A 19,145-nucleotide genomic window follows, 5' to 3' on the forward strand; every position below is an offset into this window, starting at 1 on the left:
ATTTGTTTCTTTTGCCACGTAACAAATCACAAAAACTTAGAAGCTTAAAACAAAACTCATTTAGTATCACATAGTTCTGTGGATCAGAAATGCAGACAGACTCAACTGAGTTCTCTGCTTAGGGTCTCACTGGCTAAAGCAAAGGGGTCAGTTGAGTTGGGCTGGAATCTTTCCGGGAGGCTTTGGGATAAAATCACCTTCTAGGCTCATTCAGGTTGTTAGCAGAATTCAGTTCCTTAGTGTTATAAGACTGAGGTTCCTATTTACTTATTTTAACTAGGGTCATTTTCAGTTCCTAGAGAGCCCTCTTAAGTCCATTCCAAGTGGCTCTTTCCACTTTCAAAGACACCAAAATCACATGGATTCCTTCTTGTGCCTTAACTCTCTCTCTGAGTTTCCCTTTTGCTATCAGATGGAGAAAACTCTGCTTTTAAAGGTCTCATGAGATTAGGATAGGTTCACCCAAACAAACTCTCTATTGATTAACTCAAAGTCAATGGATTAGTCTCCTAAGTACATCTGCAAAAAAATAAAAAATCTCTTTGACATGTAACATGATATAATAAGGGAATGACAGTGCATCATGTTCACAGTCTCAGAGGTTAGGATAGAAAGCCTTGGGAGCCATTTTAGAATTCTGCCTGCCACAACCTGTCTTAGACTATTCAGGCTGCTGTAATGAAGTACCACAGACTGGGTGGCTTCTAAGTGACGGTAATTTATTTCTCACAGTTCTGGAGGCTGGCAGCCTGAGATCAAGGGGCCTATAAATTCAGTGCCTGGTGAGGGCCCGATTTCTGCTTTATAGATAGCCACCTTCTTGTTGTGACTTCACATAGTGGAAGGGACAAGAAACCTTTCTGTGGTCTTTTCTATGAGGTCACTGCTACCATTCATAAGGCTCTACCCTCATGCCCTATCTACCTTCCAAAGGTCCTATCTCTTAAAACCATCACGTCGAGGTTTAAGATTTCAACATATGAATTTAGGAGGTGGGGTAGGAACATTCAATCCATAACCCTTCCATAAGCTTTCCTTTTATTTGTTTCATTGTTCTTTTTCAAAAAATTTTTCACGAATGTCGAATTCATTTCTTTTTTCCTTTGATATTGGTTTTTATTGCTATGATTTTTTCTCTGTAAGTGCTTTTAGTAGTACATATGCAGTAGTAGCATATGTATTGAACATACAAATGTAGTACATGCAGTTTTTAATATAATTTAACTTCATTTAAAATTTCCCTTTTACTCAACAATTGTTATAGAGTTTTATTTGTCAGTATTTACCAGAGAACAGAACCAATAGGATATATAGAGTGATATATGAAAGGGGATTTATTATGGAGATTGGCTCACATGATTATGGAAGCTGAGGAGTTCCATCATATGCTGTCTGCAAGTAGAAAAACCAGGGAAGCTGGTGGCATGGCTCAGTCCAAGTCCAAAGGCCCGAGACCCTGGAGGTGAGGGGAGGTGACTGGTATAAATCCTGGAGTCCCAAGGCTGGAGGACCTGGAATTCTGATGTGCAAGCATGGGAGAAGATGGATGTCCCAGCTCCAAATACATTTGCCTTTTTTCTGTTTTTCTGTTGTGTCTGAGTCCTCAGCCAATTGGATAGTGCCCACCCACACTGAGTGAGAGCTGGTCTTTCTTACTTAGTTCACTGATTCAGATGCAAATCTCTTCTGGAAAAACCTTGGACATGTCTCAAAATAAAGCTTTACCAGCTATATGGGTATCCCTTAATCCAGACAAATTGACACTTGACATTAACCATCACAGAGATACTTTTTACTTTTATAGGCTGAGTAGCTTTTTTGGTTTATTTTCATGTTTTCTTAATAATTTCTGTTTGTTCTTTTGTATTGTGGTGAAATAATGTTGTCTGTTTTATTTCTACTTGTAGAAATTTATTGATGGTATACTGAACCACAAATAAAAATCTCAATAAGTTTGAACCTTCAAAGAGACACAGATGCAAGGACTTGTTTCCTTGAGATGGATGCCAGATGCTATGCAAGGCCGTAAAAGTAATTCAATTAAAGTTTCAATGAATTTCTAAAGGCTAGCATAAAAATGAATTAGTATAAAAGTACCAAACCCTTCAGGTCTATACAGAGGGTAATTTTTACTTACTAGCAAGCTCTTATCAATGGACCACAGCGAAGTATCCATGAGAAATATTTGGGGCAGGGAAAGATAGCTGAAAAATCCTCTATTCGGTTTCAGGCTGAAGGGAAAACAAAACTGCTCTAGTAGAAAAGATACAAAACCCTGTCAAGATCCTACTCCCTTATCTTACCTACAGAACACAAGCCTTACCCTGTTTAAATAAAGGGCATCAACCACAAGTGAGGACTCACTGCATCTAGGGGTAGGGAATAGAAATAAAATAAAATCTATCCATATCTACCCTTAAGCAGAGACAGCAATAATTCTTGGGCCCAGACCATCAGAGGTCTTCGGTCAGGGAGACACAAGATCACTGAGAAGGCCCCAACCACTGAGATCAGTGACATAGTACATACCTGAGAATGAGGCTAAACAAGAACAACAGAGAATAACCCTCTTATATCACAGTACAGAATGAGATGGTCCCACTTTCACACAGAAAAGCTATGCACCATAGTTTCCACTACACTACATAGCATGTCCAGCTCTGAACAAAACATTACAAGATACACAAAAAAGAAGGAAAAAAAAAAACAACCTCTGCCAAGAGATGAAGCAATTGACAAAACCAGACTCAGATATGACAAAGACATTTAAACTATAAAACAGAATTTAAAATAACTTTGATTAATATGCTTAAGTCTTGAGTGAAAAAGGTGAATGAAATGCATCATTAGATAGGTAACTTCAACAGAAAGATGAAACTTTGAAGGAGAGCTCAATAAAAATATTATACAGAGAAAATACAATAACAGAGAAGAAAAAATGCCTTCAAAAGGCTGATAAGTAGACTTGAAACAGCTAAAGAATCAGTAAACATGAAGATAGGTTCATAAAAAAATAAGCCAAAAAAACTGCAAGTAGAAAAGAAAGTGTTCTTGTTTTTGTTTTAAAAGGAACAGAGCATGCATGAGCTGTGGGATAATATGAAATCACTTAATATAAGTGTAGTGGCAATTTCCACAGATGAAAGAAAACCAAGAGAAAGAATGATGGAGAAGAGATAGTCCAAGAATTTTCAACTTGAAAAAATGCACAAGTGATTCATGACACTCAGAGAACAGCAATCAAGACAAATAACAAAATAAAACAATAAAAACAGAAATACTTAGACGTCTAATATTGCAACTTCTGAACACAAAAAAATAAAAACACATTGCTTAAAAGTAGCTAGATAAAAATGGCACACCTATACAAAGGAAAAGAGAACTACAGCATATTTCTCTACAGAAAATATGCAATCTGAAAGAAAAATGGAATTAGGTTGTTAAATTCTGAAACAAATTGTCAACCCGGAATTCAATTCCTTAAAAAGTTATTTTTCAGAAGGGAAGGAAAATTAAGAAATTTTCCGAAACACAAAATAGAGAATTTCTTGCCAGCAGCTCCATAAACAAGAAATATTTCAGGATAACTTCAGGCAGAAAAAATATATTAATTATAAACCAACTTGGATCTAAGTCAACAACAACAGCAACAACAACAAAAACAAACAAACAAACAAACAAACAGGGTAATGAAACGGCATATGAAAGCAAATACAGGAAGGCCATTTTTTTTTCTTATTTCTAATTACTCTGAAATACAACTGGCTGCCTAAAGCAAGAGAGTAGTAAGGTATTGACTTTTAGAGCAAACATAAAAGTAACCTGTATGACAACATTACCAAAAAAATAAATAAATAAAAGGAATAGATTGAATATATGTATTTGTAAGATTTTTAACTATACAAAAAGTAGTATAATATTCTTTAAAAGCAGACAGATTAGTTAAATGTGTATTTTAAATGTATATTGTAAACCCTACGAGAATTACTAATTTTTTAAAAAGTAATATAAATAATAAATCAATATTATAGATAAAATAAAATAAAAATAGTCAATTTATATAAAAAAAGAAATATAACAGAAATGGGAAGAAAAGAAATAGTACATGAAAACAATAGCAAAAATAAAAATAGTAAATATTAACTTAAGGATATCAATAATTTCATTAACCATAAGTAGTTTAAACAAATCCATTAAAAGACAAAGATTGTCAGACTGAATTAAAAAGCAAGACTCAAGTATAAGCTGTCTATAAGAAACTTAATTTAAAACTAAGGTTAAAAGTGAGAGGATAGAAAAACTATAGCATGCAAACACTAGTCAAGCTAAAGTGGTTATATTAATATTAGACAATATTATCATTACATAGTGATAAACAGATCAATTCATAAAAAGACATAACAATCCAAAGCATATATCTACTTCTCAGCAGATCTATAAAATACTGTGCATACAACAAAAACTGACAGAACTGAAAGTAGAAATAAACAAAATGTGGACTTAGTTTAACTCTCTTCTCTCAGTAATTGATAAAACAAAAAGACAGTAAATTAATAAGAATATGGAAGATCACAGAAATACTACCAACCAATTGGCCTAATTAGTATTTATAGCATAAAATATACCACAGTATACACATTATTTTCATGTACAAATGGAACATCCATCATGATTGACCATATCACGAGCAACAAAACAACCCTCAACAAATCTTAAAAAAATAAAATTACAAATGTAGTAAGATGTATACATTCCCCCAACTAATCTATAAATGCAACAAAATTCCAATAAAAAAACCCATGCGCATATTTTTAGGAATTAAACAAGCTAATACATTAAAATATCTGTGACAAAGGAACTAAAATAACCAAAACAATTTTGAACTAGAAGAATGAACTTGAAGGATTCATGCTACCTGATTTCAGAATTTCCTATAAAACTACAGTAATCAAGACAGTGTGGTGCTGAAAAGGATATAGGTACAGATACACAGAAGACAACAATGAATACAATAGACTCAGACATATAGTCTGTTGGTTTTCAACAAAGGTATAGAGGTAGTTCAATGGAGAATGAAAAAGCCTTCTCAGCAAAGTTGCTCTAAAAGTTCAGATATCTATGCACAAAATAAACTTTAATCTGTACCTCACTCCCTTCATAAACTCAAAATGACTTGTACACCTAAATCTGAAACTTAAAACTACAAAAATTCTAGAAGGTAACATGGGACAAAACCTATGTGACCTGGAGTTAAACAAAATTGTTTTTGATCACACAAAATCATAATTCATAAAGAAAAAAAGAGATAAATTGACTTTCCCAAAATTAATAATTTTTGTTCTTTAAAATACTCTGCTAAAAGACTGAAAAGACAAGCCACAGATTGGGAGAAAATATTTGCATATCACATTTATGATAAAAGACTTGCATCCAGATTCTAATAAGTATTCTAAAATCTAAGGAAGGAAACAAATAATTCGATTAAAAAATGGACAAACGGCTTGAACAGAGACTTCACCAAAGATGATTGGTATACAGATGGCAAATAAACACCTAAAAAGATACTCAATAGGAAATAGAGAAATGCAAACTAAAACCGAAAAGAAATGTCTCTACATACCTACCAGATTGACTTAAAACAAAACAAAAAAATAAGTCTGACAACATCACTCATTGGTGAGAGTGTGGAGTTACTGGAACTTTCACACATTTCTGGTGGTAATTCAACATGGTTTAGACCCTTTAGAAAAAAAAAATTGGCCTTCCTTATAAAGATATACATTTACTTAACATGACCCAGGAATTCTACCTTTAGTTACTTACTTAAGTGAAATAAAAATGTACGTCCACATACAGAGCTGTATGTGAATGTTTTATAGTGGCTTTTTTTCAATTGTCAAAAATTTGAAACAACTCAAATGTTCCTTACCTGGGGGAACAATCACACAGCAGAATACTATCCAGCAATAAAAAAGAATGAGCTATTGATACATGAAATAGCAAGGATGGATCTCAAATGCATTATGTTAAATGAAAGACACTGAACTCAAATTGCTATACACTGTATGTTTCTATTTAACAATATTCTAGAAAAGGCAGAACTACAGAGACAGAAAACATCAATGACTTCCAAGGGCTGCAGTAGAGAAGCATGTTTGACTGCAAAGGAAGATCTGAAGATGTGTGTGTGTGTGTGTGTTTGTGTGTTGATAGAATTATTCCATATTTTGATATGGAATAATATTTGGTTTTTATATGACAGCATGCATTTGTCAAAAGTTGTAGAACTCTACAATAAAAAAGGATACTTTTTCTGTATGTGAATTCTACCCTAATTAAAAAATGAAAAAAAAAGAATATTCCAGTTATTAAAGAAAACACAATCAGGAAACTCACTGTCTTTTCATCTTATTTCTTCTTTGTCCTCCTAATTTGTGTAGAAGTTATTTTATTGCTAAATTATTATGAGACATATGCCATTTACATTAATTCTGCCACTTTAATCTCCAAATTTGTTTCAGTGTTAGTTCTTTAGTAAAATATATTTAATTCTCAATACCCTTGTGCCATAATATCTCCAGTTATAGAATCTCTTGGTTGGCTGAAATTTGATCTCTAGTTAGTAACCATCTCAAGAATGGGTTACTGAAACACTATTACCTGATATCTTCCATATTAAAACTTTCTTGTCTGTAGTTTTGTATGATTTCTGATTACTCACTTTTGTCGGTATGCATTGGTTCTCTTTTCTATAATTTTTCTTATGTATCTTTGTATCATTTGGGGCCAGTACTGTTTGTTTTTTGTTAATTCTTATCAGAGGCTGATTTGAACTTTCCTAGAATGATTTGAAGTTAAGGCAAAGAGGCAAGGTATTCTTCCAGCATTTGTAACTCAGAGGTTCTCTCCTTTTCTGCTTTCACAGAGATGGACAGCTACCTACAAATATCTCTCTACTATATGACTCCCATTTCTTCTTTCTGATCTAAACCAAAGCCATGAAGGCTTTTGTTACAAACTCTGCTCGTGCTCGTTTTCTCACTTTTTATTGCAAACAGGATATATGGCTTGACCTTCAAGGTGAGCCCTTGGCCTCTAGAAGCAGATTTTTCCATTATAGTCTGAGATCTGCCACCACCAAGCCCTTTTGCCATTTTCCATGCTTCCTACACTTCACATATTCCTGCATGCCTCTAGCTGTTAAGCTGCCTCTAGGAACCCCTGCATATATTTTGAAGTTGGAAGATTGTATACTTCCAAACCTCTGTGAAAATTAATTATATGTATTTTCATTGTTGTGTTTATATAATTTCCAGAAGGAAAGAAAGAATAATGCTGACTTAGAGTCATACTAGTAGTTGCAGAGTAAAGTTGATATATATTTTCAGATGTAGAGGGCCACACTTCTAAGATGTCCAGGTTCAACTGCACCATTACTTTGATTCCTACCCCGCAAAACATCAGCTACTGTGTTCCTCAAACTTGTTTACAAAATGAACTATAAATATTACATAATGCCTTTTAGTTAAAGAAAATTAAAACAACGGAAGGAGGAAATTTTCTGCAGGGACTTTCTTGTAACCCCTTGGAAGAAAACATTCTCTCTTCCTCTTTCTGTCTTGCTCATGGCTTTCTCACACCCAAAAATCAGGTTTGAGTAAATACTTTTCTTCTTACAATTTCTTGCACTATCAATATGCTCTTTTTCTAGTTCTTGGATTGTCTATTTATTGATTTTTTTTTCTCTTTTCTGAGTGAAAATGCTGAATGCAGTTCCTCTAGAAAAAAATGCTTAACTTTCTGTCAACCTTCTGGTTTCCTTAGAGGATTTGGTACAACATAGAAATGTGATTGGCGATGTCTATTCTCAGGGGCCTGCCTCTCCTTTTGAAATAAACAATGGGTTAGGCAGTCCCCTGAAGTATACAGGTACCACTGAAGGCTATTATTCTGAATAATCTGCTCTGGCACAGGAACATTTATGCAAGGTGTTGAATGTCTTAAAATATGCAGTGCTACATGAGTGCCTACAGCACCTCAGGGTAAAAATTGGGCCCAGTGTAAGAATGAATCATGGAGCCTTTGTGTTTTTCTCAATGTTCAGGCAGGTGTGTTGGCATTTACACATGCCTATGTGATGTAGTATTCAGAGGAAGATAAAACTCTTTGATGATTCTACATTTCTACTGTACAAAGAATTCATCACCTTGCTAAGACGGTTTGCTTCTAATTGTTATGTTGTTTCCTCCTTTCTCACATTATCTTGTTTCATGGACGAGGTGATTTTTACAAAGTTACATTTGCTTTTCATTTAATTTTGCAAATATGCAACCAAATCAAAGGGAATTGCAGCGTGCTCTCATGTTTAAAGGAAAAATACACGTTGATATCTTCACTTTAGGGAAGAATCCAATGTCAGTGCATTCTGAAACTGAATATTTTCATAAGATAGATTTTGTTACTAAAGAAAATTATAAGAATTTCTGCTGAAAAAATATGATTAAATATGTATGCGGGAAGTTGCAGGGGCAGTTTGTGCAAGAAGTGAAGGGAGAAGTAAATAGCTATGCAGGAAAGAGGTAAGAAGGCCACACTCAAATGAAACATGGGAAGAAATGACAAAGCCTGTTTATGCTGAAGGCTATACATCCCACAGATTGAATCCTTAGTAACACAGACATAAATCCGTCAACGCTAATTGCACACTTATCACAGAAATGACTTTGACACCTATGTTGAAGATTATCTAAAAAAAAGAAATAAAAGTGTTGTCCAATCCTTAAGGAATTGCCAATGAAGGTAAATTACAGAAACAACCAAATGTAATTCAAAGTAGAAGTTATGTTTTCAAGAAACAAAGAAGAAAGGATGCTTTATTTTGCTCAATGGGTATAACAGAATGTTTCTCAAGGTAAGGTTGAACCAGAGCATTTAAAAGATCTGGCCCCTGCACACCTTTTAATTCCCACTTTTATCCATTTCCACCAAGACACTTCTTACTCCAGCTTTTTTGGACTTGTTTCCATGTTTATTTATACTAACTCTCTCTTTACCACAGGGCTTCCTTTGCATAAAGTATTTAATCTGTCTAGGAGATTATTGCTCTTCTACCATTTACCTTAACCCATAGTCTCTGTGAAGACAAATGAGATTATACACCTAATGGACTTAGAACAGTGTTTGGCAAATAGGAAGAGCTCAGTAAATGTTCAATACTACTAAGTAATAATAATAAAATTGTAATGAATTTATTTTAATGTCAGGATCATATATACCCTCAATGGTTATATGTTTCAAAATGCCTAAGAAGAGTTGGTGGAGGAGGCAGCACTGGAAGCAGGCACATTGATAGAAAGAAACTACATTTTTAAAAGTAAGTTAAAAAGCAGTTATAAATAAGAAAAGCATAGCTGTTACAATCTGTAGCATAGATTCCCTGTAACAGGCTTTAAAGACATGGTTATATCACACCACAGTGTTATGACTGATAATTATTTCAGAAATTCAAATTATCTGAACTTCTAGTTCAGGAGGCCAGAATATGAATAACCCAATTAAGAAATGCTTTCCTCCCAATCATGAAAATAAAAACAAAAACTTTTTAGCAATAATGAATATTAATTTCAGTTACCTGGGAAATTGTCTTTATGTGACTTTCATCATTACTCTAAAATGGAAAAATATACTTCCATTTTTTATTATCTAGCTTATTGACTAATATACAGCCTAAAGCAATATCTACTCCAAACCCATAAAGACCTCAGTTGAACAGATTGAATTAAAAAGAATTTGACCTGCTATCTAAAGTTTTCCAAACCTTGAAATTACATATATGTCATTAAAATAAATATGGGAAAACTAATAACACTGATTTAAAATATAAAAAATAATAAAGAATATTAAAATTACTATTCATAATTTTTAGAGCATAGGAATGAAAACAGATTGTCACATAATGTCTTTAAGCAGCAACATTTTGCACTGCTTCAGCAAATACAAAATGTGAAAAACATCTCAGATAGGAAAATAAGTTATGCTTGATTAGAGTACTTCTCTAGCTTTGATTTATCAATTGAGTAATTGATTGATTAATTGGATGTTTTACTTTAGTTTTAGAACTCTGGGAAGCAGGCAAGGTTGTGTTTGGAATGCAAAGGTACAACTTTTCAAGAATGAAACACATTGCTCTGCTAGTAGTTTGGTCAACAGAGCATTCAAAAATTCAGTTCAACAAACATTTGAAATTAATGCAATATTTGTTCACTTCATTAGCAAATGTACAAGTCCTTGCGAGTACAAGATCTTGTGCTAGGTGTTGAGGGTTCAGTATTGATAAAACACTGTCTACTCTTACTGGAATTACAATTTTAGGCAAGCACCCCAAATTATGCCATAATGAAATCAGAATGGATAGGAAGGTGGTGGGAGGAGGTTAGGAACACAGTTCAGAAGGAGCTATTAATTTTTCCGGGTAGAACCAGGAGTGTTTTAAGAAGAGCTGAAATTTGCACAAGGTCTTTGGTAAAATTTTGCCAGGTAAGGTGCAGAAGTGTAATTCAGGCACAGAAGATAACAAGAGAAAAACTTGGAAGCAAAAAAAACCCACAAAAATCCCCCCAACAAAATACAGTTGTTCGTGTGATTCAATATAATTTCTTAAAAATAGTTTAGTGTGACAAAATATACAGTGCTGGAGTAGAAAAAAGAAGGATAGTTGAGACCAGATTTTAAGGGCATTATATGACTTGATGAATGTGGCAGACAGACTCTAAGATGACCTTGTGATATTCATGGCTGATGCAATCCCCTACCATTGAGTGTGGGCAGAGTCTGGGGCTTGTTCTAACCCACAGAATGTGGCAAAGGTGATGTGATTGCATTGCCTAAGATTGTAAACTCCATCTTATAAGGAGACTCTTTCCCTTGCTGGCTTTGACAAAGTAAGCGTCCACATTGGGAAGATTCATGGAACAAGGAATTGAGGCAGTCTTAGGTCAACAGCCAGCCAGGAACTCAGAACAGCTTCTGGCCAACAGCTCACAGGAGCTGAAAGATACTAACAGCCACATGAGCTTGGAAATGGATTTTTCCCCGGTTAAACTTCAGAGCTTGAAACAGCAGCACCAGCCTATACCTTGACTGTAAACCTTGTGAAACTCTGAATCAGAGTAGACAGCCAAACCATCCCTGGACTCCTGACCCACAGAAACTGACATCATAAATACTGACATCATAAAAAATAAGACAATAAATGTGTTACAATATTGTTGCATAACCATAGCTAGCTAATACAATGGAGAATTTGGAGCTTATCTTAAAATCAATGGCAAGCCAGCTGCTAAATATTGTCAAGCAAGAAAGTGGCTTGACATCTTTCCTTTAGGAAAGAAAATCTAGGGCTAGGCGCGGTGGCTCACGCCTGTAATCCCAGCACTTTAGGAGGCCAAGGCGGGTGGATCAGGAGGTCAGGAGATCGAGACCATCTTGGTTAACACGGTGAAACCCCGTCTCTACTAAAAATACAAAAAAATTAGCCAGGCTTGGCGGCAGGTGCCTGTAGTCCTGGGGAGGCTGAGGCAGGAGAATGGCATGAACCCAAGAGGCGGAGCTTGCAGTGAGCCAAGATCGCGCCACTGCACTCCAGCCTGGGTGACAGCAAGACTCCATCTCAAAAACAGAAAAAAAAAAGAAGAAGAAGAAAAAAGAAAATCTAGGAAGCAATGTGGAGAATAAATAGGATGGGGGAAAATGAAATGCATAAAATACAGCTTGGAGATTATTGCAACAGTCTGAGTGAGAGGTAAAAAAGAAAACTAAACTGGTAATACAAAAAATGAAGAGAAAATATTTATTTTTATTTTTAAGTTATATTTTAGGTTCAGGGATACATGTGTAGGTTTGCTATATAGGTAAATTGCATGTCACAGGGGTTAGTTGTACAGATTATTTCATCACTCAGGAAATAAGCATAGGCCCTATTAGGTAGCTTTTCAATCCTCTCCCTCCCCTATCCTTCAGCCTAGTAGTCTCTGGTATCTGTTGTTCCCCTCTTTGTACCCATGTAGTCTCATTGTTTAGCTTTCATTTGTGAGTGAGAACATGCAATATTTGCTATTACGAAAATAGTGTGTGATGAACATTTGCATTCATGTGTCTTTATGACAGAATGATTTATATTCCTTTGGGTATATACACAATAATGGGATTGCTGGGTCAAATGGTAATTCTGTTTTAAGTTATTTGAGAAGTCATCACACTGTGTTCCTCAGTGGCTGAACTAATTTACATTCCCACCAGCAGTGTATAAGCATTCCCCATTCTCTGCAACTCCACTAGCAACTGCTGTTTTTTGCCTTTTTAATAATAGCTATTCTGACTGGCATGAGATGGTATCTCATTGTGGTTTTGATTTCTCTAATTATTAGTGATGTTGAGCTTGTTTCCATATGCTTATTGGCCACATGTATGTCTTCTTTTGAAAAGTGTCTGTTCAGGTTTTTAGCCCACTTTTCAATGGGGTTGTTTTTTGCTTGTTAATTTAAGTTCCTTATAGATTCTGGATATTAGAATCTATGAAGAACCTATCTTCATCAAATCATAATTTGCAAATATTTTCTCCCCTTGTGGAAGTTGTCTGTTTACTCTGTTGATAGTTTCTTTTGCTGTGCGGAAGCTCTTTAATTGGGTCCCGTTTGTCAATTTTTGTTTTTGTTGCCATTGCTGTTGGCATCTTTGGGAAGAAAATTTTCCCAGGACCTATGTCCAGAATGGTAATTTGTAGGTTACCTTCTAAGGTCTTTAGTTTTAGGTTTTACATTTAGGTCTTTAATCTATCTTGAATTGATTTTTGTATATGGTGTCAGGGAGGGGTTTAGTTTCAGTCTTCTGCATATATCTAGCAGGTTATCCCAGCACCATTTATGGAATAGGGAGTCCTTGTCCTATTGCTTGTTTTTTGTTAACTTTGTCAAAAATTGGGTGGTTGTAGCTGTCTGGCATTATTTCTGGGCTCTCTATTCTGTTCAGTTGGTGTATGTGTCTGTTTTTGTACCAGTACCATGCTGTTTTGATTACTGTGGCCTTGTGGTATGGTTTGAAGTCAGGTAATGTGATGCCTCCAGCTTTTTAATTTTTGCTTAGGATCACCTTGGCTATTTGAGCTCTTTTATGTTTCCATATGAATTTTGAAACAGTTTTTTATAATTCTGTGAAGAATGTAATTGGTGGTTTAAGAGGAATAGCATTCAATCTAAATTGCTGTGGGTAGTATGGCCATTTTAACAATTTTGATTCTTCCTATTCATGAGCATGGAATGTTTTTACATTTGTTTGTGTCATCTCTGATTTCTTTGAGCAACGTTTTGTACTTCTTGTAGAGATGTTTATGTTTCACCTCTGTCATTAACTGTATTCCTAGGTATTTTATTCCTTTTTTGGCTATTGTGAATAGGATTGTGTTCTTGATTTGGATCTTAGCTTGAACGTTATTGGTGTATAGAAATGCTACTAATTTTTGTACATTGATTTTGTATCTTCAAACTTTGATGACTTTTTTATTGGATCTAGGAGTTGCTAGGCAGAAACTATGGGGTTTTCTAGGTATAGAAACAGATTGCAGATAGAGATAGTGTGACTTCCTCTTTCCCTGTTTGGGTACCTTTTATTTCTTTCTCTTGCCTGACTGTTCTGGCTAGGATGTCCAGTACTATGTTGAACAGGAGTGCTGAGAGTGGTCACCCTTGTCTTGTTCTGTTTCTCAAGGGCAATGCTTCCAGCATTTGCCCATTCAGTATGATGTTGGCTGTGGGTTTGTCATAGATGGCTCTTGTTATTTTGATGTATGTTTCTTCAATGCCTTGCTTGTTGAGGATTTTTAACATGAAACGATGCTGAATTTTATTGAAAGCCGTTTCTGCATCTGTTGAGATGTTCATGTGGTTTATTTTAGTTCTGTTTATGAGATGAATCATATTTATTGGTTTTGTACAGGTTGAACTAATCTTGCATCCCAGGAATAAAGCCTACCTGATTGCTGTGGATTAGCTTTTTGATGTGCTGCTGGATTTGATTTGCTAGTATTTTTGTTGAGGATTTTAGCATCTATGTTCATCAGGGATATTGGCCCAACATTTTCTTTTTTTGTTGCATCTAAGCCAGATTTTAGTATTAGGATGATGCTGGCCTCATACAATGCGTTAGGGAGAGTCCCTCCTCCTCAACTTTTTGGAGTAGTTTTAGTAGAAGTGGTACTAGCTCTACTTTATACATTTGGTAGAATTAGGCTGTGGATCCATCTGGTCCCTGTTGTTTTCTAATTGATAGGCTTTTCATAACTGATTCAATTTTGGAACTCATTATTGATCTGTTTAGGGATTCAGTTTCTTCCTTGTTCAACCTTGGGAGCTTATGTTTCTAGGAATTTATCCATTTCTTCTAAGTTTTCTACTTTGTGTGCATAGGTATTTGTAGTTGTCTCTGAGGGTATTTTGTATTTTTGTGGGGTCAGTGGTAATGTCTTCGTTGTCTTTTCTAATTGTGTTTATTTGGGTCCTCTCTATTTTTTTCTTTATTAGTCTAGCTAAGAGTTTATCAATCTTTTTATTCTTTAAAAAAATTAAAATTTGGATTTATCTTTTTTGCTCTTCATCTCTCAATTTCCTTCAGTTCAGCTCTGATTTTGGTTATTTCTTGTCTTCTGCTAGCTTTGGGGTTGGTTTGCTCTTGTTTTTCTAATTTTTCCAGGTGTGACCTTAGGTTATGAATTAGAGATCCTTTTAACTTTTTGATGTGGGCATCACTATAAAATTCCCTCTTACCACTGCTTTAGCTGTGTCCCAGAGATTCTGGTATCTCTGGGATACCAGAGTTTAGTTTCAAAGAATTACTTGATGTTTGCCTTAATTTCATTGTTCACCCAAAAGTCATTCAGGAGCAGGTTGTTTAATTCCAAGTAATTGCATAGTTGTAAGCAATTTTCTTAGTGTTGATTGTTTATTGCACTGTAGTCCAAGAGTAAGTTTGGTATGATTTCAGTTTTTTTTTATTTGCTGAGGGTTGTTTTGTGGCCAATCATGTGGTTGACTTTAGAGTATGTGCTATGTGCAGATGAGAATAATTTATATTCTGTTGTTTTTGGATGCGGAGTTCTGTAGATATTTATTAGGCCCATTTAGTCAAGTGTTGAGTTCAAGTCCTGAATATTTTTGTTAGTTGTATGTCTCAATGATCTGCCTGATACTGTCAGTGTCATGTTGTAGTCTCCCACTATTATTGTGTGGTTATCTACATCTTTTTGTAGGTGTTTCAGAACTTGCTTTATGCATCTGGGTACTCCTACATTGGGTGGGTATATATTTACAATAGTTAGGTCTTCTCATTGAATTGAACTCTTTGTTATTATTCAATGCCCTTCTGTGTCTGTTTTGATGATCACTGGTTTAAAGTCTGTTTTGTTGGAAATAAGAATAGGAGTCCCTGCTTTATTCTGTTTTGTGTTTGCTTGGTAGATTTTTCTTCATCCCTTTACTTTGAGTCTGTGGGTGTCACTATTTGTGGGATGGGTTTCTTGAAGACAGCATACATTTGAGTCTTGCAGTCTAGCTTCTTTATCTAACTTGCCAATCTGTGCCTTTTGATTGGGGCACATAGCCCATTACTTTCAAGGTTAATATTCACGGGGGGGTGGGGGAAGGGAATTGGATCCTATCTTTGTGTTGTTAGCTGGTTATTATGCAGACTTTATTATGTGGTTGTTTTATAGTGTCCATAACCTATGTACTTAAGTTTGTTTTTGTGGTGGCTGGTAATGGTCTTTGCTTTCCATGTTTAGAACTCCCTCAAGTACCTTCTGAAAGGCAGGTCTGGTTGTAACAAGTTCCCTTAATATTTCCTTGTCTGAAAAGGGTCTTATTTCTCCTTTGCTTATAAAGCTTAGTTTGGCTGGGTAGGAAATTATTGGTTGGAGTTTCTTTTCTTTAAAAATGCAGAATATAGGCCCCCAATCTATTTCAGATTGGAGTGTTTCTGCTGAAACAGTCACTGTTAATCTGATGAGTTTCCCTTTGTAGGTGACCTGTCCTTTCTTTCTAGCTGCCTTTAATATATTTTCTTTCATGTCAACCTTGAAGAATCTGAAAATTATGAGTCTTTGGGATGGTCATCTTATATAGTATCTTGCAGGGGTTATTTGCATCTCTTGAATTTGAATGTCAGCTTCTCTTGTGAAGCTGAAAAAGTTTTGGTGAATGATATTCTCAAATATGATTTCCAAGTTGCCTGCTTTCTCCCCTCTCTTTCAGGGACGCCAATGAGTTGAAAATGTGTTCTCTTTATATAACCTCATATTTCTTGAATGTTTTGTTCATTTTTTTAATTTTTTCTTTATTTTTGTCTAACTGTATTTTGGAGAACCAGTCTTTGAGCTCTGAGAGTCTTTCCTCAGCTTGGTTGATTCTGCTGTTAATACTTGATATGGTTTGGCTGTGTTCCCACCCAAATCTCATCCTAAATTGTAGTTCCTATAATCTCCATGTATGGTGGGAGTGACCTAGTGGGAAGTAATTGAATCACAGGGCAGTTTCCCCCATGCTATTCTCATGATAGTAAGTTCTCACAAGATCTGATGGTTTTATAAGGGGCTTCTCCCTCATTTGGTTCTCATTCTTCTCCTTCCTGCCACCATGTGAAGAAGGGCATTTGCTTCCCCTTCCACCGTAATTGTAGGTTTCCTGAGGCCTTGCGAACCCTGAGGAACTGTGGTCAATTAAACCTCCTTCCTTTATAATTTACCCAGTCTTGAGCAGTTCTTTATAGCAGCATGAGAATGGACTAATACAGTAAATTGGTACTGGTAGAGTGGGGTGCTGCTATAAGGATACCCGAAAATGTGGAAGTGACTTTGGAAATGGGTAACAGGCAGAGGTTGGAACACTGTGGAGGGCTTGGAAGAAAACAGGAAAATGTGGGAAAGTGTGGAGTTTCCTAGAGACTTGCTGAATGGCTTTGACCAAAATGCTGATAGTGATAGGGACAATAAAGTCCAGGCTGAGGTGGTCTCAGATAGAGATGAGGAACTTCTTGGGAACTGGAGCAAAGGTGACTCTTGTTATGATTTAATAAAGAGACTGGTGGCATTTTGCCCCTTCCCTAGAGATCTTTGGAACTTTGAACTTGAGAGAGATCACTTAAGGTATCTAGCAGAAGAAATTTCTAAGTGGCAAAATGTTCAAGAGGGAGCAGGGCATAAAAGTTTGGAAAATTTGCAGCCCAATAACTAAATAGGAAAGAAAAACCATTTTCTGGGGAAAAATTCAAGCTGGTTGCAGAAATTTGCACAAGTAATGAGGAGAGAAATATTAATCACCAGGACAATGTGGAAAATATCTCCAGGGCATGTAAGAGACCTTTGTGGCAGCCCCTCCCATGACAGATCCAGAAGTCTAGGAGGAAAAAAATGGCTTTACAGGCCCAGGGTCCCCCTGCTGTGTGCAGCCTAGCAACTTGGTGCCCTGCATTCCAGCTGCTGCAGCCATGGCTAAAAGGGGCCAAGGAATAGCTTGGGCCATGGCTTTAGAGGGTGCAAGCCCCAAGCTTTGGCAGCTTCTACTTGTTGTTGAGCCTTCTGGTACACAGAAGTCAAGAACTGAGATTTGGAACCCAAGACTATGGGAGCCCACCTCTTGCATCAGCATGACCTGAATGTGAGGCATGAAATCAAAGGAGATTATTTTGGGTCTTTAAGATTTAATAACTGCCTTGTTGGATTTCAGACTTGCATGAGGCCTGTAGCCCCTTTGTTTTGGCCACTTTTTCCCATTTGGAACAGGTGTATTTACCCAATGGCTGAACCTCCACTGTATCTAGGAAGTAACTAACTTGCTTTTGATTTTGCAGGCTTTTAGGTGGAAAAGACTTGCCCTTGTCTCAGATGAGACTTTGGACTTCAACTTTTGGGTTAATGCTGGAATGAGCTAAGACTTTTGGAGACTGTTGGAAAGGCATGAAATGTGAGGACATGAGATTTGGGTGTGGTGGAATGATATGGATTGGCTGGGTTCCCACCCAAACCTCATCTTGAATTATAGTTCCCATAATCCCATTTCTGGTGGGAGGGACCTGGTGGGAGGCAAATGAATCATGGGGGAAGTTTTCCCCATGCTGTTCTCGTGACAGTGGTAAGTTCTCATAACATCTGATGGTTTTATAAGGAGCTTCCCCCTTCACTCAGTTCTCATTCTACTTCCTGCTACCATGTGAAGAAGGACATGTTTACTTCTCCTTCAACCATAATTATAACATTCCTGAGACCTTGCCAGCCTTGTGGAACTCTGAGGCAATTAAACCTCTTTGCATTATAATATACCCAGTCATAGGCAGTTCTCTGTAGCAGTGTAAGAACAAACTAATACAATAATTGTGATTTTATTATGAAATTTTTGTAGTGTGTTTTTCAGTTCTATCAGATCCATTTGGTTCTTCCTTATAATGGCCATTTCATCTTTCAGCTCCTGTATTGTTTTGCTGCAATCCTTAGATTCCTTGGATTAGAATAAAATTTTGACTTTCTTCTGAATCTTGATGCTTTTCATTTCTATCCATATCTGAATTCTATGTCTGTCATTTCAGTACTTTCAGTCTGGTTAAGAACCTTTGCTATGGAACCAGCACAATCAATTGGAGGAAAGGAGATACTCTGGCTTTTTTAATTGCCAGAGTTCTTCTATGGGTCAGGTCCTTTCTCATTTGTGTAGGCTGTTATTCCTTTAACTGTGGTATAATTTGAATATCGTCCGTTGACTTCTTTTCTGGATGTTTTCAGAAGGCCAAGACCTTTGTGCAGGGTCTTTATTTGTAGCTGAATTCTAATTTTTGTCCTTGATTTCACAGGTGGGTATATTAGCAAAATGTTTTTGGTGACGAAGTTTGGGCTATGACTCAGTAGATGGTGCTTAAGCATAATGGCCAGTAGGTAGGCTCTTGCTCAGCCATGTGGAACCTCTGTATTTCCTCCCAATTGTATCTGTGCTCCCTCTTAGTGATCTGAAAGTGTCGGCTCCTCCAGAATGCTGGCTGTAGATCTTAGCTTGGCATGCCCAGGATCCACACTGCAGCCCTGGGGTAAGCTCAGGCTTTATGTTCCCTCCCCA

General features: G+C 36.2%; 1 long non-coding RNA gene across 1 annotated transcript in view, besides 1 other annotated feature; it reads left to right on the top strand.

Moving 5' to 3' along the window:
• LINC01362 (long intergenic non-protein coding RNA 1362) overlaps positions 1 to 19,145 on the top strand; it is a 263,633-nt gene that overhangs the window by 220,505 nt on the left and 23,983 nt on the right. The window lies entirely within an intron of this gene.
• Positions 5,520 to 5,669: an enhancer, noted in NCBI's record as "active region_1241". NCBI's record gives its function as "activates an Ori minimal core promoter by ATAC-STARR-seq in GM12878 lymphoblastoid cells {active_cell/tissue: GM12878}" and the evidence as "EXISTENCE:reporter gene assay evidence [ECO:0000049][PMID:35858748]".

This window comes from Homo sapiens, chromosome 1 (assembly GCF_000001405.40).
Source record: "Homo sapiens chromosome 1, GRCh38.p14 Primary Assembly".
Classification (NCBI taxonomy): domain Eukaryota; kingdom Metazoa; phylum Chordata; class Mammalia; order Primates; family Hominidae; genus Homo; species Homo sapiens.